This window comes from Homo sapiens, chromosome 12 (genome assembly GCF_000001405.40).
Source record: "Homo sapiens chromosome 12, GRCh38.p14 Primary Assembly".
Taxonomy (NCBI): domain Eukaryota; kingdom Metazoa; phylum Chordata; class Mammalia; order Primates; family Hominidae; genus Homo; species Homo sapiens.
In genome coordinates, this window is record NC_000012.12 from 124,796,896 (window position 1) to 124,816,724 (window position 19,829).

The 19,829-nt window shown below is 52.2% G+C and overlaps 1 protein-coding gene across 20 annotated transcripts in view, besides 3 other annotated features; it reads right to left on the reverse strand.

Annotated features, from left to right (window-relative positions):
- SCARB1 (scavenger receptor class B member 1) overlaps positions 1 to 19,829 on the reverse strand; it is an 87,009-nt gene that overhangs the window by 20,040 nt on the left and 47,140 nt on the right. For 11 of the 20 annotated variants that reach the window (NR_160419.1, NR_160417.1, NR_160416.1 and 8 more), the window contains exons 3-8: positions 18,078 to 18,219; positions 17,307 to 17,510; positions 14,975 to 15,070; positions 13,279 to 13,394; positions 10,866 to 11,032; positions 3,229 to 3,347 (exon numbers count right to left, since the gene is read on the reverse strand). Coding sequence is in view for 11 of the 20 variants with exons in the window: in NM_001367986.1 (NP_001354915.1) it covers positions 3,229 to 3,347; positions 10,866 to 11,032; positions 13,279 to 13,394; positions 14,975 to 15,070; positions 17,307 to 17,510; positions 18,078 to 18,219 (844 nt within the window). In the remaining 9 variants the exon portion in view is untranslated. The remainder of the gene's footprint in view (positions 1 to 3,228; positions 3,348 to 10,865; positions 11,033 to 13,278; positions 13,395 to 14,974; positions 15,071 to 17,306; positions 17,511 to 18,077; positions 18,220 to 19,829) is intronic. The other 9 variants (NR_160420.1, NR_160422.1, NR_160421.1 and 6 more) reach the window with 7 other exon arrangements.
- Positions 609 to 1,119: an enhancer, noted in NCBI's record as "H3K27ac-H3K4me1 hESC enhancer chr12:125282050-125282560 (GRCh37/hg19 assembly coordinates)". NCBI's record gives its function as "activates a minimal SCP1, AML or CMV promoter by ChIP-STARR-seq in primed H9 embryonic stem cells {active_cell/tissue: H9 hESC(primed)}" and the evidence as "EXISTENCE:reporter gene assay evidence [ECO:0000049][PMID:30033119]".
- Positions 1,120 to 1,630: an enhancer, noted in NCBI's record as "H3K27ac-H3K4me1 hESC enhancer chr12:125282561-125283071 (GRCh37/hg19 assembly coordinates)". NCBI's record gives its function as "activates a minimal SCP1, AML or CMV promoter by ChIP-STARR-seq in primed H9 embryonic stem cells {active_cell/tissue: H9 hESC(primed)}" and the evidence as "EXISTENCE:reporter gene assay evidence [ECO:0000049][PMID:30033119]".
- Positions 16,768 to 16,937: an enhancer, noted in NCBI's record as "experimental_25196 CRE fragment used in MPRA reporter constructs". NCBI's record gives its function as "activates a minimal promoter by MPRAs in K562 erythroleukemia cells, with activity observed for both the introgressed and non-introgressed 12:125298294 variant alleles {active_cell/tissue: K562}" and the evidence as "EXISTENCE:reporter gene assay evidence [ECO:0000049][PMID:34662402]".

Here is a 19,829-nt window from a genome sequence, read left to right on the forward strand (position 1 = left end):
TGGGAACCCAGATTTCAGGAGGGTCCCCACCATCCCCTAACTGATGAGAGTAGTTCACTGGGCCGAAATTATTTGTACAAACAATATGGTTCTTGCTCAGCACCTGCTTTCCTTCCCAGAGCCTAGAATTTTGGTACCTGCCAGGCAGAGGTGCCCACATGACTGGCCCCTAGCAAAACACCATGGGCACTGAATTTCTAATGAGCTTCCCTGCTAGACAACATCTCCTACATGTTGTCACAACTCATTGCTAAAGACATTAAGTGCATCCTGTAGGAACCCCCTGGAAGAGGACTCTGGAAGCTCCAGCCTGGCCTCCCCCGACTTCACCCAAGGTGCTTTTTCCCTTTGCTAATTTTGCTTTGAATTCTGTCATTACAATAAGTCTTAGCTGTGATACCACCATAAGCAGCGTCCTGTTGAGTCCCCCGTCCCCATGCCCTCCCCCAGTTTCAGGAGCAGAAAAGTGGCCACACGGAAGCAGCTTCCAACACACGTTCGTTTTTCAAGGCTAAAGGCCAACAGGCAGCAAGCTGATCTCCTGATCCCCCTCCCCAACGTGCCCAGCTCAAAAAACAAAGAAATAAAGGCCACTTCCTCTCCCCGTCGGCCTCAAGCTCATCTGGAGGTAGAATTGGACGCAGCAGCTAAAGTGGCTGCGGCAAAACAGCTGTTTGCCTCTCTCTGGGCTCCCAAACTTAACCCCTTCTTTCTTGATGTGAGGGGAAGAAAGAAAATCCGTGCCCTGAAAGGAAAGCGATCACTGAGAGCGCACAGGAGACTGTGTTCATGGTGGAATTCTCCGGAAGCCAGCAGAGCAAGAGAGGCTGGAGGAGGAATTAACTAAAAGAGGGAAGGCAGAGACCAGGGCTGGGGCCGGGGCCGAGAGGGCCTAGTCAGCGGCTAAGGAGGCCTGGGAGGACAAAGAAAAATGGTGCAGAACAGCATCCGCCATGGAGCTTCGGGAAGGGCCTAAGGTGCACAGCATTGTGGCAAACGTGTGGAGCTTCCTCAGACAACGAAAACCAGAACTACCATCGGATCAGTGATCCCACTGCCGGGCATCCCCCCAGAGGAAATGAAATCAGTGTGTCAAAGGGACAGGGGCACTCCCATGTACGCTGTGGCCAAGATACGGAATCAAGCGAAGTGTCCGTCAGTGAATGAATGGGCAGCAGAAACGTGGTGCACACACAGTGGGATACTGTTCAGCGTTTAAAAAGAGGGAAATCCAGCTGGGCGCGGCGGCTCACGCCTGGAATCCCAGCACTTTGGGAGGCCGAGGTGGACGGATCACTTGAGGCCAGGAGTTCCAGACCAGCTTGGTCAGGATGGTGAAATCCCGTCTCCACTAAAAATACAAAAATTAGCCAGGTGTGGTGGTGTGTGCCTTTAATCCCAGCTACTCTGGAGGCCGAGGCAGGAGAATTGCTTGAACCCAGGAGGCAGAGGTTGCAGGGAGCCACGATCATGCCACTGCACTCCAGCCTGGGTGACGCAGCAAGACTCTGTCTCAAAAAATAAATAAATAAAAACAGGGAAATCCTGTTATTTGTGACAACATGACGGACCTGGGGACACTATGCGAAGTAAAATAGGCCAGGCACAGGAAAGCAAACCCTGCATGACCTCACCTGTATGTGGAATCTAAAAGAGTTGAATTCAGGCCAGGCGTAGTGGCTCACGCCTATAATCCCAGCAACCTGGGAGTCCGAGGCGGGTGGATCACCTGAGGTCACGAGTTCGAGACCAGCATGGCCAACGTGGCAAAACCCTGTGTCTACTAAAAATACAAAAATTAGCCGGGTGTGGTGGTGTGTGCCTGTAATCCCAGCTACTTGAGAGGCTGAGGCAGGGAGAATTGCTTGAACCCGGGAGGCGGAGGTTGCAGTGAGCCGAGATCGTGCCACTGCACTCCAGCCTGGGTAACCAGAGTGAAACTCCATCTCAGAAAAAAAAAAGAAAAAAAGTTGAATTCATGGAAGCAGAGGGTAGAATACTGGCTACCAGGGGCAGGGATGGGGAAGTCCGTCAAAGGATACAAAATTTCAGTTAGACAGGGGGAGTAAGTTTAGGAGACCTACTGGGAAATAGAGCAACAGTCACTGTATTGTACTATACAATACAACACAGTGACTAGAGTGAATAGCAATGTATTGTAAGCTTGAAAGTTGCTGACAGTAGATTTTAAATGTTCTCAGCACCAATACATCATCAGTATGTGAGGTAATGCATATGTTAATTGGCTTGATTTAGGTATTCCACAAGTTATATACATACATCATAACATCATGTTGTACACTCAAAAATAGACAGCTTTTCTTCTTCAATTTAGAGAATTAATTTTGGCTGGGCACGGCGGTTCATGCCTGTAATCCCGGTACTTTGGGAGGCCAAGACAGGAGGATCGCTTGAGCCCAAGAGTTCGAGACCAGACTGGGCAACATGGCAAAACCGCGTCTCTACAAAAAATATAAAAATTAGCCAGGCATGGTGGTACATGTCTGTAGTCCTGGCTACTTAGGGAGGCTGAGGTGGGAGGATCACCTGAACCCAGGGAGGTCGAAGCTGCAGTGAGCCATGATCATGCCACTGCACCCCAGCCTGGGCAACCGAGTGAGACCCTGTCTCAAAAATAATAATAATTTTGTTAAAGGCCCATGGGATAGACCACAAGTGCCCACCCAGGAAACAGAAAACCACAGATTTCTGAATCAATGGTAGCAGCCACCAAGACCAACTGGGCATATTTTACAGAGAACGGAGGTGCCAAGAGAAGAGGCCACAAGCTGAAGGAGTGTCCTTGGGAGGGCCACATGTCCAGCTCCCTGCTTGTAGACAGAACTTCACACGGGACAAATTCCCTGTGTGATTTATCTGCAAAATACCCCAGGCTCTTCTTGGTACCTAAAGATCTTTATGGTATCTTGACACATCCAGAGGGCTGCCTCCAGCTCACATGTAGGAGACATCCCAGCTGATAAGTTCTAATTAATTTACTGTCTTAGAGCCCATTTATAGAAACCAGTACAGGGATCATAAAACCCTTGAACTACCTTGAACTATGGAGTCGGGGTGAAGTAAGGAACTTTGGTGGCTCGAGATTCTAGAAGCCAGGCTTCCCACCACCCCAGCCCACAGCAGCTCTCTGCCTGGGGAGAGAGGAGGCAGCCAGGTGTGCTCCAACCAGGAATCACCCACCCCCCACAGAGGATGGCAGGGGCTCACCGGGTGGATGTCCAGGAACAAGGAGTGTGCCTCCTGGTTAGGGTGCAGGCCAGTCACCGCTTCTGCCAGAACCGGGTCAGCGTTGAGGAAGTGAGGATGGGAGAGAAACAAGGGGGCACCTAGAAGAGGGGCAGGGAGGGGACATCAGACAAGGACAGTATATTGGCAGGTCCTGCCAGGCCGGAGGTCTGCACAGAGCTGTGGTCTGCAGGGCACCCCCGTGGCGATGACAAGATAACCAGACAGAGAGGATCCCTTCCTCCATTCTGTAAAAAGCCCCAGGCCCTGTGATGAGGGACAAGCTCTGCGCCAGAGAAGGGGTGAGGCAGGAGCCGCTGATTCTGACAGGAGAGACCAAAAGAAGGAAGAGGCCTCTTCACAGGAGCCAGGTGAAGGATGCCCGGGAAGCGCATTCCAGGTGGAAGGGAAGGCAGAAGCAAGCGTGGGGAGGGGGAAATGCATGGTGCACAAGGGTGCTAGGGAGGCACGGATGGAAAAGGCAACGCCAGATTTGAACTTGGGTGTGGGGAGGGGAGTCTCAAGCGCAAGCCAAGCAGCCCACACTGTCCCCTGCAGGACACGCAGCAATGATCGGAGCTCAGGTGTGTGCACCTGTGGCCAGATCTCCCTGCATCCACAGGAGTGTGTCCCTGTAGACACACCTGCTACAAATGTGAGCTCAACCTCGCCACTGACCAACCAAACCAGGCAAACACCAGCTCACCCTCGGGACAATGGACAACAGGCCTGAAGGACAAGTTAACAAGGAACAGCGAGCGGGCCTCTCTCAAAAGCTCACGAGGGCCAGGCGCCATGGCTTACACCTGTAATCCCAACACTTTGGGAGGCCTCAGCAGGCAGATGACTTGCACCCAGGAATTGGAGACCAGGCTGGACAATATGGCAAGATCCTATCTCTACAAAAATTAGCCGGGCATGGTGGCACCTGCATGTAGTTCCAGCTACTCAGGAGGCTGAGGCAGGAAAATCGCTTGAGCCTCAGAGGTTGAGGCTACAGTGAGCCGTGACCGTGCCACTGCACTCCAGCCTGGGTAACAGAGCAAGATCCTGTCTCAAAAGAAAAACAATTTTTTTTTAAAAAGCTCACAAGGATCCAGACAGTGCTAATCCACAGACAGAGCCAACGGGTGGTGACCAGGGGCTGGGGGAGGGGGCGGGGAGTGACTTCTGATGAGTCTGGGTCTCCTTTTGGGGTGACAGAAATGTTCTGGAACGAGATACAAGTGATGGCTGCACAACCTTGTGACCCTGCTAAATGCCACTGAATCATTCACTTTAAAATGGTTAATTTTATGTTACAAGAATTTTGCCTCAGTAAGGAAAACAAAACAAAACAAAACAAAAACTTGAATCAGAGGCCAGGCACGGTGGCTCATGCCTGTAATCCCAACTCTTTGGGAGGCCAAGGCGGGTGGATCACTTGAGGTCAGAAGTTCAAGACCAGCCTGGGCAACATGGTGAGACCCCGTCTCTACTAAAAATACAAAAATTAGCTGAGCATGGTATGTGCCTGTAATCCCAGCTACTCGGGAGGCTGAGGCAGGAGAATTGCTTGAACCTGGGCGGCAGAGGTTGCGGAGGCTGCAGGGAGCTGAAATCGCATCACTGCACTCCAGCCTGGACAATAGTTTTCGGAGGTTGCAGTAAGCCAAGATTGCACCAATGCACTCCAGCCTCGGCAAAAGAGCAAGACTGTGTCTCAAAAAAAATAAAATAAAATAAAGGGCCGGGCGCGGTGGCTCACGCCTGTAATCCCAGCACTTTAGGAGGCCGAGGCGGGTGGACCAGTTGAGGTTGGGAGTTCACGACCAGCCTGACCGATATGGAGAAACCCCGTCTCTACTAAAAATACAAAATTAGCCGGGCCTGGTGGTGCACACCTGTAATCCCAGCTACTCAGGAGGCTGAGGCAGGAGAATCGCTTGAACCCAAGAGGCAGAAGTTGTGGTGAGCCAAGATTGCACCATTGCACTCCAGCCTTGGCAACAGAGCAAGACTGTGTCTCAAAAAAAAAAAAAAAAGACATAGTTAAAAAATACCGTGGAAAATAATGATGTTGTAAGTTCTAACTAGAACCTGTTACTGCATGAGGCTTTAACTGGGAGCCCTGCTCTTTTTCTGTTAAAAGAAAAAACAAAACAAAAAAGGCTGATGAGTGTGGAAGGCTCTTCAAGTCCTCTCAACACCAAGAGACCTTCTCCTGCAGGTGATGGCAAGGAGGAAAAGAGCATGGACCCAGAAGCTCACTCTCACCTCCTTGGACCTTCTGAAGCCATCCCAAGCACCCGCAGGGACAGTGTCCTCCACAATCTGGAAAACGCTGCCTCTCGTGCCTCCTCCGTGGAGGAGGCAGCCACGGAGCCGAACTCTGGAGGAATCTCAAACAAGCCCTGGCCTGCCCACAGCCCCAGGTGGAGACCGAGGTGGGATGGAACAACTTGCCAGCCCCCGCCCTTGCTTCAGAGGCCGAGCCTGCATGGACCCACGCACGTGTTTCTTCCAATGTTATTACCAAGCACGCCGAGAGAGATCTTCCCAGCTGTAAGTGGTAATTAATTTGTAGCTTTATGGCATATCTAGCCAGACATAATTGCCCAGGATTGCCACCGATGATAATTAGTTGGCTCTGTGAGGCAAGTCGGATGCCCTCACGCAACAGGGAGGTTTGAGATGAGGGAGTTGTCTGAGTCCAACAGATTTCAAGGCCCAGAAAGGCAAAGGCATGGTACCTTTACTCTTTAGATAACATGCCACAGAAACACAGACATAGGTGCACCAAACGACACGTGTGCACCACGGTCACGGTCGAAAAACAGGAACTTGGATGCCTAGGAGCAATGGAAGGAGAAGATGGAGGTGGCACCCACGATGGAACACCACACAGCAACGGAGAGGAGGGGCTGCTACCACCCACAACGTCACGGACGAATTGCACCAGGGTGCTAAGGGGTGCACGGACCAGAAAAGGAGGAAAAGGAGTCTAGCATTATGGGTCCATTCACATGAAGATGCAAACCAGCTGAGCTCCGGGGCTGGATGTCAGGGCGGTGGGAGGACCGCGAGTGGCATCCAGGGCCTGTCCTGTCTGTTTCTCAGTCAGGGTGCTGGCCACGGGGTGCGTTGACTTTGTGAAGTTTCAAACTGCAGGTGTCAGCCAGGCGCAGCGGTTCATGCCTGTAATCCCAGCACTTTGGGCGGGAGGATCACTTGAGCCCAGGACTTCAAGACTAGCCTGGGCAATATGGTGAGACCCCGTCTCTTAAAAAAAATTTAAGAATTAGCTGGGCATGGTAGCAACCGCTTGTAGTCCCAGCTACTCAGGAGGCTGGGGTAAGAGGATCAATTGAGTGATGGAGGTCAGACTGCTGTGAGCCATGATGGCACCACTGCACTCCAGCCTGGGCGACAGTGATACCCTGTCTCAAAAAACAAAGCAAAAAACCCCAAAAACTGCATGAGTCATCTGGGAACTTCTTTGTATCTATGTATATTTTATTTAGAAGCAAAAACTAAGCCCGGGCAAGACGGCACAACCCCACCTCTACAAAAAAAAAAAAAAAAAAAAAAAAAATTGAAATAAGATAAAATAAATTAGCCAGGTATGGTGGTGTGTACCTGTGCTCCCAGCTACCTGGGAGGCTGAGGTGGGAGAATCATTTGTGCCCAGGAGGTCAAGGCTGCTGTGAGCTGTGATTGCACCACTGCACTTGAGCCTGGGCAACAGAGAAACCCTGTCTCAAAAATATAAATAAATATAAGAAAAAACTCTATTTAAATAAAGATTTTAAAATTCCTTTGCGCTTTTGAAATTCTTTTGGCAGATGTGCTAAGAGAAGGCGGGACACACCTCGTCCCACGCCCTTGGAGGGGATGGGCATGTCGTTTCTCCCCCTTCTCCTGGTACCTACACCCCCACTTTAAGCCTTCCCTACTTTCAGCCTTGTGCTTGGAGTGGGGCCGGCCCACCCAGGAGCCATCTGAGCATGTGACACAAGCCTGGCCAATCAGCATAGTCCACCTCGGCTACTGTGATTGGTTTACAGCTGGGCATGGGAGCCAGGCAGACCAATTAGAGCAAACCCTGGAACTTCTGCTGGAGTGAAGGAAACACAGGTGGCCCCCTTTCTGCAGGACTCGGAGCTGGGCGGAGGTGAGCCTGGAGCCTCCACAGGCAGCCAGGAGGGAGAGCCTGCTTGGCAGCAAAGCCAGTCCAGCAGAAAACTGAGCTGGGACTTGGCAGAGGCAGCTTCCAGACAACATCTAAGTTCTGGATTTGTGCCTAATGCAGAGATCTGCCCTGGAATTTTTCATTACGCAAACCAAGAAGTGCCCTTTTGGCCTAAATCAGGTGGAGTCCAGCATCTGCCACTTGCGACAGTTGCTGTAGCACACCTATTGGGTGTGTAACATCCTCAACCTTAGGAGCAGAAATCCCCGCCGATACCAGCAAAGAATGAAGCAAGCAGAGGCCAATGCCCAGACGGGCCAGACAGGACCAGGAGACAGCAGCGGGCGTCCCAGGCCCCAGCTCCAAACCATTCATTCACAGGTTGTTCCATTCTGCCTGAAATAGGGGAAAGCATCCAATCTGTTGACAGCCCCTCCTCCTGACCCCTGTTGCAGACCAGTCCTTTAGAGTCGCCATTGCCAGCTGGAGGACGGGGCTTCAACCAAAAAGGCTCCCAGAAGGCAAGACACAGTCAAATAGAGGGCCGCTTCCGGTCCTACCAACCCTGTGACCTTGGTCGCATCCAGCATCAGGCCTCAATTTCCTAAGTACAGAACGCACTCACCATCCCTATATTCAAATACTGTATGAGTACCCATTACATGCGGGGCACAGTTCTAGAAGCTAAGAATAAAACCAACAAGAGGAGCTTGGGGCCCTGCCTACAGGGATGACAGTGAATGGAAGGGGCAATGAATAAAATCCACAGTCCATGAGTTCAGGGAGCAATGAGCACCAAGACAAGAAGAGGAAGACAAGAAGACCAAGACAAGAAGACAAGAAGAGGAAGCCATAGGGAGCAGCAGGTGGGAGAGGGGGCAACTTTAGAACAGGAAATCAGAGGAGGCCTCCCGGAGGAGGTGGCATTTGCATGCAGGCCAAAAGAAGGTGAGGGATGATCCACTCAGAAATCCAGACAAAGAGCTCTCCAAGCAGGGGAAGCAACCCATGCAAACCACAGTGCAAGGCACTGACCTTGGTATACTTTAGAAAAAGGGCGAAGGCATCAGGGCTGGAGAATAATGAACAGGGGACGTGTAGGGAGAAATGGAGTCAGAGAGGCTGGTGGGGCTGGATCCTTCAGAGAGGCCGGTAGGGGCTGGATCCTGCAGGGCCCAGGGCCATGGTGGGAGTTTGGACTTCACTATGAATGCAGACAGAGCTGCCAGACATTTTAAGAGGACGGCGGCCATCTGCATATTTTTCGAGATGGGTCTTCCTCTGTTGCCCAGGCTGGAGTGCAGTGGGGTGATCACAGCTCACTGCAGCCTTGACCTCTGGGCTTAGGCCATCCTTCCACCCCAGCTTTCCACGTAGCTAGGACTACAGGCATGCACCACCATGCCTAGCTAATTTTTTTTTTTTTTTTTTTTTTTTGGCCAGAGAGAGGTCTTGCTATATTGCCCAGGCTGGTCTCGAACTCTTGGCCTGAAGTGATCCTCCCACCTCGGCCTCCTACAGGGTTGTGATTACAGGCGTGAACCACCACACTCGGCCTGCATTGTTAAAAGATCCCTCCGCTGCTGTCGGGAGTGCTACAGAACTTCCTATGATGATGGAAATGTTCTCTATCTGTGCTATCCAAGACAGTAGCTGCTAGACACACATGGCTTATGAGCATTTAACTTCCGGCCGGTGCAACCAAGGAACTGCCTTTTAATTTGATTTCGTTTAAATCAATTTCAATTTAAACAGCCGCAAGAGGCCAGCAGTGACCGCACTGGATGGTCTAGGGGATGGATGGTAAGGCGGCAACACTGCATTGAGGGATGGGCTACTGAAAGGGCTGGATCACCAGGAAGGACGTGTCCGTGGCCTGGACAATGAGGCGGGGGTTGGGGTGGGGAGCAAGAGAGAGGAAGGAGTGAGGACTCAACCTGGAGGTAAAGCCATCTGGGCTTGTTGACGCACTGGAAGAGCTGGGTGAGGACAGGGAAACAAACTGACGCCCGAGGGTCCAAACTGAGCAACTTGAGGTGGGGGTGTCTCAGGGACTGGCACACAATTGAGACACACCAACAATGTCAGGGGACCGACGCCAACAGCAGTCATCACATCTGCCTAGCCACCCACACTGCGGAACGAGAAGATGTTACGTAACACACAGACCCTCGCCAGCCTCATTTCATGTCATTTAGGACACGTACATGCCCTAAGCCCCAGAACCCATGACTATGTCAGGTCACAGGGTAAACGGGCGCTGGGCCTGCTCAGCAGCTGCCTTGAAGGTCCAGAAATTGGGCCGGGCACAGTGGCTCACACCTGTAATCCCATTGCTTTAACACGCAGAGGCAGGTGGATCACTTGAGGCCAGGTGTTTGAGACCAGCCTGGGCAACATGGTGAAACAACATCTCTATAAAAACTTTACAAAAATAAAATTAGCTAGGTATCATGGCCCACACCTGCGGTCCCAGCTACTCAGGAGGCTGAGGCAGGAAGATCGCTTGAGCCCATGAGGTCGAGGCTGCAGTGAGCTATAATCGCACCACTATACTCCAGCTCCAGGCTACAGAGTGATACCTTGTCTCAAAATATAAAAATAGGCTGGGCGCGGTGGCTCACACCTATAATCCCAGCACTTTGGGAGGCCGAGGCAGGCAGATCACTTGAGGTCAGGAGTTCAAGACCAGCCTGGGCAACATGGTGAAACCCCCATCTCTACCAAAAATACAAAAAATTAGCCAGGTGTGGTGGTGCACGCCTGTGGTCCCAACTACTCGGGAGGCTGAGGTGGGAGGATCACTTGAACCTGGGAGGCGGAGGTTGCAGTGAGCTGAAATGGCGCCACTGCACTCCAACCTGGGTAACAGAGTGAGAGTCTGTCTCAAAAAAAATAATAATAAACAAGATGGGGAGATTGTCCTGGGGTATCCAGGAGAGCACGATGTGGTCTTAAGGGTCCTTAGAACTGGAAGAGGGGGCAGAAGAGGGAGGAGAGGAAGAGATATGAGGACAGAGTGGATCAGAAGGATGCCATGTTGCTGGCCTCAAAGGTGGAGGAAGGGCCCGGGAGCCAAGAAACACAGAGGGGCCTCTGGAAGCCAGAAAAGGCAGACGCAGCTTCTCCTAGAGCCTCCAGAAGGAACACAGCCGCCTTGTTCTGAGCGCGGTGAGACCCACGCAGACTTCTGACTACAGAACTGCAAGATAACCAGTGTGTGTTGTTCTAAGCCCTGAAGTTCATGGCAATATATTGTGACAGCAACTAATAGACCTGGCATTTCTTCCTTTTCAGATTATCTTCCTGCGGCCTCATTATCTTCGCCTAATGGGATTATCAAGAGTACAGAGGCCAGAGATTAAGCAGACAGCACTGGGCAGATAAACCCTCAGCTGGCCCCACCCTCACACCCTCCCGCCATCCCAGCACAGGGGACGGCACGTACTGAACCTGCAGGTGCTGACGTTCTGAATTCCAGACTCCAGGCACGGGCAGAAGCCTTCGTTGGGTGGGTAGATGGACCCGTTGGCAAACAGGGTTTTGGGAGCCACGAAGCGATAGGTGGGGATGCCTTCAAACACCCCTGACTCCTTGTACATTAGCTTCATGGATCTGCAGGGGACAGACAGGATGAGAGGGGACACCCAGACCCGGCGGCCAGAGCCAGGCCCTGCCAAAGGCTGCCCAGATCCAGCCACTTCTCCCCACGGGCGCTACCACCTCCCGGGTCCAAACCGCCCCCATCTCTCACCCGCGGAGCTGCAGCGACCTCCTAACAGGCCTCTCCGCTCCGACTCTGCCTCCCCACCCACATCAATGTATTAGCCGTGGCCAGATGGAGTTTTACAAAAGAACAGAGGCCAGGCATTATGGCTCACACCTGTAATCCCAGCACTTTGGGAGGCCGAGGTGGGAGGATCACTTGAGCCCAGGAGTGTGAGACCAGCCTGGGGAACATAGTGAGACCCAGTCTCTAAAAATAAAATTGTTTTTGAAAGTTATGAAATTAAAAAAAGAACAGAATATATCATGCCCCTGCTGAAAATCTGTGACCCTTTCTAGTCTAACCTACCATTAGGATTCATTGACCTTATCTAGCCCCTGCATAAGCTCTGCTCAGCCCTGCCCCAACTTCCTGTGCCCAGGGCCTCCCTGCAGTTCCTAAGCACACTCACTCCTGCCCCAGGCCCTTTGCATCACTGCTCCCTCTGCCTAAGAACAGTCTCCTCTGGCATCTTCATCCACCAGACTTCAGCCCTTCAGTCAGATCTCAGTTCAGCTGTCACTTCCTCGGGTGGCAGCACCGTCCCCCACACCCACCCCATCCACCCTCCATCCATTCATGCTCCTGTACTTTCTCAAAAGCACTTCTGAACTTGAACATGCACTGTGCTACCCACTCTGTCCACGGCAGCCACTCAGCACGCATGGCTGTCCATCCCGCCCTTGACATGGGGTGAGTCCAAATTGGGATGCAAGTATAAAATACATTCCAGATTTCTAATACTTGCTAGCAAAAAAAACAAAAAAAAAACCTCATCAATAACACTTGAAATGATCCCATTTTTGATATATGAGGTCAAATAAAATACATTATTAAAAATAATTTCACCAATTTCTTGTTACTTGTATTAATGCAGCCACTAAAAAATTTTAAATTGCATGTGTGCCTTGCATATTTTGATTTATAGGAAAGTGCCAGCTTAGATAACAGTATTATGTCAATGCCAAATTTTCTCATTTTGATAACAGCATTATGGTTATGTAAGAAAATGTCCTCGTTTCTGAAAAACACCCACTGAGTATTTGGAGGTAAGGGGGCATACAGCCTCCAACCTACTCTCCGATGGTTCTGGAAAAAGACACTCGGCGAGAAGAGGGGGTGGGGGGCTTAACACGGCTAGTGAACCTGGGTGAAGGGGAGACGGGGGCCACTTGTATTTCTCATGCAACTTTTCTTTAAGTTTAAAATTCAGCTTTTAAAGTCAGCTGGGTACAGTAGCTCACACCTGCAATCCCAGCACTTTGGGAGGCTGAAGCAGGAAGATCCCTTGAGGCTAGGAGTTCAAGACTAGCCTGGGCAACATAGCGAGATCCCCATCTCTAAAAAATTAAATAAATAAATAAGTAAAAACTTAAAATAGTAAAAAGTGGCCACACAGAGCAAAAGCACTGTCACTCTCTGACACTCTAGTGTTTGTGCATTTGCCTGAGTTGCCCTGATAGGACACAGCCTCCTGGGGAACGGAGACTTGGCCCACCCTCTCACTACCGGGCACCTGGCACACAGTAGGGCTTCACAGGGTTTGCTGGGAGGGCAGATAAGTCAAGGTCCACATGAGTGAATTCCTAAGTAAAGGACTTTTCCAGAGTGACCAGAATGGAACACGACACAGCAAGGCCTCCAGAAAAGGGCTGTAGGAGCCACCCACTGTCTACTCTTACCCCACAACTGGGACCATGGGACACAGAGCTGAGCCTGAAGGGGCCAAGCAGAGCCAGCTGATGTCTCAGCACCCAGATGGTCATGGGGGCCACCAGCCAGACGCCAGAGGGAGCCCACCTCTCGCCTCCATTTTATGGCCCCCTGTGACTTGACATGTCCTGCCCCCTCCTCCCAGCCCAGCACCACCTGGCTGCAAACCACCACCAGCAGCCTCTCTTTGGGCTGTGTAGAGGCATTGGCAGCTGGAGTTTGGCTTTTGGTGGTGTGACCAAAGAGAATTCAAGCTGGTGCCAAGGGCTACTGAGTCAAATCCACGATGAGTCAAAATGCTTTCCAAGTGCACAGCCAACACCACAGAATTTGGCCATGAGCTACCCAGGAAACCCAGGAGGCCCCGAGTCCCAGTGATTACCGGCAGGCCTCCGGGCTGTAGAACTCCAGCGAGGACTCAGGAGTCATGAAGGGCGGCCACATTTGCCCAGAAGTTCCATTGATCATGTTGCACTGATCGGAATGCCAGAAGTCAACCTGGGGGGAAGCATCCAGACTAGACCCCTCAGTAGGGCCAAGGCCCCTTAATAAGCCCTCTCAGGTGCTGCACACCTAACTCACCCTGGTGCACGCACGGCCACTCAATTCCCAATACTGGCACGGTGGGAAGAGGGCAGGCTATGTAGACACACAGAGAGAATGCCTACCACAGCTTCCCCCTCCCAGACCCCTGAATGTGTAACTTCGCTAGGGACTCAGTTCTTTCATCTGCAAAATAGGCCTATCACCCACATTTCCAGCCTGAATCTGGAAAAGAAGTGTGGTGAGCAGGTGAGGTGAGAGGTGGGGCGCGGCTGTGCTCAGCCCTCAGAGCGGAAGTCAACAGGCACCTCCTGAAAACAATCGGCACACAGGCAAACTACTTAAAATCATAATGGTGGCCACCACCGGGCAACCCCAAAACAGAACCTGTCAGGTTAACTGACTCTGGGGAGCGAGACCCAGACTCGACAAAACCAACTGCTCACTTTCCAATCTTCTGTATGATGAGGATGTTTAAAATCACGTGCACATGTACAGTATATTGGAATATACAAGCCACAATGAATGTGAACTCCATCTATCGTGAATGGCTACTGCCAGTTGCAGATGGTGATTTTTGCCACTCTGGGCACCGGTTGGGGTACGATTTGTCCCTAGCCCTCAGGGTCTTTGCAGTAACTACCACGGGGAGTGGGGAGTGGGAAGTCACACAGTCATTTTCACACATATTGAGAAAAGGTCACGAAGGTGAAAAAAGCCAGTTGCAAAACAATGCACGTAGTATGATTTCATGATGTTCAAAGAAGAAACAATTCCGTATTTCTCTGCGTACATATAGGTGTGCACATGGGTAAAAATGGATGGGAAGAATATATCCCAAACTGATAATTGTGGGTTTCCTCTGGGGCAAGGGGTAGGGGTGGGAGGTGATACTAAGGGCACTTATCTCCCTCTCTTGTTTTATTTTGTAATGTGAATCTCTTCTCTTTTTTTTGGAGACCGAGTTTCACTCTTCTCACCCAGGCTGAAGTGAAATTGCGTGATCTCAGCTCACTGCAACCTTCACCTCCTGTGTTCAAGCGATTCTCCTGCCTCAGCTCATGAGTAGCTGGGATTACAGGCATGCAACACCACACCCAGCTAATTTTTTGTATTTTAGTAGAGACAGGGTTTTGCCATGTTGGCCTGGCTGGTCTCGAACTCCTGACCTCAGGTGATCCCCCCCACCTCGGCCTCCCAAAGTGCTGGGATTACAGGCATGAACTACCACGCCCGGCCTTCAAAACATTTTTGTAAGTAAAGAATCGAAAGGAAGAAAGCACTCAGTTCCCAGCAGATGCCAGGTGCTCAGTAAGCTCAGTAAGCAATCACTAACCCCACCTGCCCCTCTGGGTGGTCAAGCTTTAACCAGAGGTAAAATCCCTCCTCCAACTTCAAGAGTGTTCATCCTCCCAGCACCCTCTTCACGACAAAGGAAGAAGGAGCTCTCTGGTCCCTGCCACTCCCGAGCAGCCATGGCCGGGCCCACCCTCCCCTCTCCCTGGCGACAGGGGCCCTCGCCTCTCGCCCCTCACCTTGCTCAGCCCGTTCCACTTGTCCACGAGGTGGATCCTGCTGATGTTCTGGACCCCCGTGAACACCGTGAAGAGCCCAGAGTCGGAGTTGTTGAGCTACAGACACAGCAGGGAACAGCATCGTAAGGCTTAGGCCTGCCATTGAGCCGGCCTGGTCTGAACATTCTGGGCTGAGCCCTCCTCCCCCTCCACCAGAAGGACAGGGCCCCCAGCATCTGGTTCACTGCCAAATGCCCAGTGTCTGGGGACCGAGAGGAGGCTTGGGAGCTTTCTAGGAGGAATGGTCCCGGGTTCTGTGGCTGCAGTGTTCCACCCTCCCTTCCTAACTCCAGGAGAGTCTGGCTTTCCTCCCAGGTAAATGGCAGATCACCCCCACCACACCCTACTCCAGCATAAAATAAAGCATGGCCAGGTCAGCTCCCTGAGCAATGAAAAAGGAGAAGTGGCATGTCACTTGGGGGGATGCTTTAAGGACTGTGCACACGCCTTTCACCGGGCTCTCTGCCGCTGCTATAGCAGCCAAGGAGGTATGTGTCAAGACAGAGCCTCCCTCAGCCTGGATCCCCAAGTGACCACCACAAGCGCGGGTGCCCCAGTCACCCACACTGGACGTGGAGTGCAAGCAAAGGAATAAGTCTTGGTTGTTCTAAGCCATGGAGATTCCGGGGCTGCTTGTCACAGCAGCAAAACCTGGCCTGTCCTAACCCATCGAGGTTCTTGATAGTGGGGCCCAGGCTTTGGTGCTCCGAGAGCATTTCCCAGAAGCTGGTTTCTAATCCCAAAGACATGCAAAGCACAAAGTGGTATGAGTGACTGAAGGAAATATCTAGAAGTGCTTTGCAGGGTGGAGCACACTGAGGAGCTCCAAGGTTGCCCGGCTGAGTGACTGCACCCATCACAGACCTCCAGAGCAGGACCCAGCACAAGGCCCCAGCCCAGCATCCCGGGTGTGTCTGTCACGTGCCCATGTGGAGCCAAGAATAACCAGAGCCACTACAAAGGGGAGCATTAAAGGGACTCATGTGCAAAAACGGCCAGGTACAGTGCACCGGACACAGTAAGAGCTCAAAATGATAGTCTTTATTTTCATTATTATTGTTATTATTAATAAATGCTCACCCAATAGGATACTTAAATGATCATTATAATGGACGGAGAGCATCAGAAACTGCCAGTTACTACCCAAAGCCCAATCTCTCCTTACTCTTTCATACAAAACCCAAACCATACTCAGAGCATCAGCACACCCAGCTAAAAGGCTACCTTTCCAGCTTCCCCTGGAGCTAGGTGTGGCCATGTGACTCAGTTCTGGCCAATAGAAAGGAAGTGGACATTGGTTTTCTTCCTCCCTAAGAGGGAGGAAACTGGAACACGCTGTTTTACCCCCAGTTCCTCCATCTGCTCCCCAAAGCCCCACCATTTTTTCCTTCTTGCTGTGCTGCCTGGAATGTGATGTGATTGCTGACACTCTAGCAGCCAACTTGGACAATGAGGTTATCTTGAGGATGAAAACCACATGCCAAGGATGGCAGAGCACAGTAGTAGAAGGCTTCCAGATCACTTAAGACCATGAAGCCACCACACCAACACTGAACAGCCTACCGCTAGACTTTTCTTGTGAGGTTTTCATTATATGCAGTCAAACGTAGATTATACTAAACTAGGGACTTTGTAATAACTTTCATTTGCAAAGCACTTCAGGATTTACAAGATGCCTTTACAGCATCATGCCACTTAGCCCAAACTTGCTCATTTACCCACACGACAGGAGCCCGTCACCCTTGACAAAAACGTACTGAGTATCTATCACACGCAGCACCACGATATCCCCCCCAGCACTCTACCCTGATCAGCAGAGACCAAAGAGATGGCTGAGGCTGGAGCAGTCCCAAGGACTCAGTGAAACCTGCGGTGAGGGAGCCAAGGTCAGGGTCAGACCCTCCATGGACGAGATGTTGGCTCCGAAGCCCAGTCAGTGACCCTACCAGGTTGCCAAGAGTCAAGATTAAGAGTCAGCTTGTGATATTACTCCCCAGCAGCCATGCCCCCTTCCTCCAGCAAAGCCTCCAATTTGCTAAGCTAAGGCCCAGTCACATCATTTGAGCCTGGATCAAGCTGTACCTGAATCCAACCCTAGCATTTTCAGTTCTATGAGCCCCAACATTCCCCATTTCACTCAAGCCGGTTTGAGTCAGGTTCTCAGTCACTTACAACCCACAGCCACTAGATCCCCAGCCAGCTACAAAGCAAGCTGGTGACCAGTGTCCAGGCTGTGTGAGGGGAAGACAGGACACAGGCCTGAATCTTTGGCTTCTCACCAGGCCACACGTACCTCAGCAAATAATCCGAACTTGTCCTTGAAGGGGAACATGCCTGGAAAGTACTTGTTGATGAGATTCACAAGGGGGTCCTTGTAGCCCCACATGATCTCACCCACAGTGCGGTTCATGAAGGCACGTTCGCCGAGGGTGGTGAATGCCAAGGTCATGATGAGCTTCAGGGTCATGGGCTTATTCTCCATCATCACCGCCGCACCCTGCAAGGCGAAGGGACACTAGTGTCAGAGGCTGGACGTGGCTGGCCCATCCTCCCTTGGCCCCAGCTGGGCCTCACAGCAAAGAGCCCATGAAGGGAAATGCTGGGGTGCAGGAGGCCCCTGGAGTGGCCACGTGGGGCATCTGGGACACCAGAACCACCCTCTGCTCCTCCAGTGCCAAGGCCACATGTGCTCCCGAGAACCCCTTCTCCCCCTTGCACCCCACTGGACTCAGGCTAAGTGAACTCCAGCCCCAGTCCCAGAGGCGGGCCTGTGGCTCAGCCCTCAACAAGACAGCCCCTTTTGGAGATCTCAGAAATGTAAATTGAAAAGGGAAAAAAAAGTACTTTGGCCAGGACTTCCAAACCAAGACAGGTGGACCCACCTGGGAAACTCAGAACCCACTGGGGGTGGTGGAGACAGCACAGGGCCGAAAGCCACCCACCAGGCGTGAGTCCCCACGCTCCGACCACCTCAGGGACTGCTCTCTGCACAAGGGGCAGGCGGGAGGAGAGACAGGGGACGAGGTCAGGGTGCGAGGCGGCGTGGGCCACAGGGCAGCCTCACCAAGACCAGGATGTTGGGCATGACGATGTAGTCGCTCTCCGAGCCGTGGGACTTGGAGGGCTGGAACTGGAAGGTGCGGTACTCGAGGAAGGACACGGTGTCGTTGTTGTTGAAGGTGATGTTGCTTTTGTGCCTGAACTCCCTGTGGGGGAAGCCAGTGGGTCAGACGCCCCGCCCCGCTGCATGGGACGTTTCCCTTCTACTCGCCTGCAATGCCTGCCTGGGAACCAGGGGCCCTGGACGTCTGTGCACACCTCCGGCCCCACAGCCAAAGCTGAGCTCGGCCCCTTCGCCAAGTCTGTCCCTCCCGCCGCCTGCCCACTGCAGGACATGGTGTCGCCGCCCACCCGGCCTCGTTCTGCTCTCCCCCACCCAACACGGCCATCGTCTCTCCATCTACAAAAGGAAGTAATCACAAGCCCTACTTCACAGGGCAGCTGTGGGGATTAAGCAATCAGATACCCAGAAAGCAATCAACACAGCCGCCGGGTGCAGAGAAAGCACGAGGTAAACATCAGCTGCTGTGACTGTTGCTGCTGCTGTCCTTATGATCTCTCATCTCTCCAAGCCACTCTCCACCATCCAGAAGAATCTTTGAAAAGTGGAAATCAGGTCGGGAGCAGTGGCTCATGCCTGTAAACCCAGCACTTTGGGAGGCTGAGGTGGGCAGATCACCTGATGTCAGGAGTTCAAGACCATCCTGCCCAACATGGCGAAACCACGTCTCTACTAAAAATACAAAAATTAGCTGGGCATGGTGGCAGATGCCTGTAATCCCAGCTACTCGGGAGGCTGAGGCAGGAGAATCGCTTGAACCTGGGGGGCGGACGTTGCAGTGAGCCGAGATCGCGCCACCGCACTCCAACCTGGGTGAAAGAGAGACTCCGTCTCAAAAAAAAAAGTAGAAATCAGATCGTGCCATGCTCTGGACCACAACCCCACTTTGCATGCAGGTTAAAATCAGGCTCCTAACGTGACCTCTGAGGCCCTCAGCAAGGCTCAGGCCTCGTCTCTCCACTGTCTCCCTCCCTCGTAACCCCAGCCGCACAGGCCTCTGTCCCAGCCTTCAGACCTTTGCACATGCTCTGCCCGGGACTCTGTCTCCCCAGGGCCTCTTCCCACCATGCGGGTCCAGTGAGTGTCCCTTTGCAGATGTGCTCCCGACCCTCCAGTCAGACCGAGCCCCAAGGCCACCCTCCCTCCTGCACTCCGGCTTCACACTGTTTTGTCTGCACAATACTGATGGCTGCCTGATTTCCCCTTATTTGTCCACTTCTTTACTCTCTCCCCATCAGAACATCAGCTTGGTGAGGCAGGGCCTTGGTCTGCCTGCGCCCCCAGCACACAGGAGGTGCTCAGTCAGTGCTCACAGAATGAAGGAGTATAGAGAGCTTTGGCATTTTTGCCCATTCTGTCCACTGCTGGGTCCCCTGTACTTAGAACGGCAGCCAACACCTAGCAGGTGCTCAGTAAACATTTGTTAAATGAACGAGCGAATGAGTGAATGAGTGAACGGAATGCAGCAGCTGATTCATGTTTCCCATTCCCAAACCTCAGGCACATTTGCTGGGTTTTCATCTTGGCTTTCCCAGAACCAGACTGTGGGTCTCCAACAGCGGGAACACCCTCTGCCCGCCCCATCCCTGGAACACCGTGTGCCGGGGGCAAGTCAGCTCCCCTGTCTGTGAACTGGGAAGTGGGGGTGTGGAGGAGGGGAGGTGCTGTGAAAACGCCAGGAGGTAAGGGAGTTGT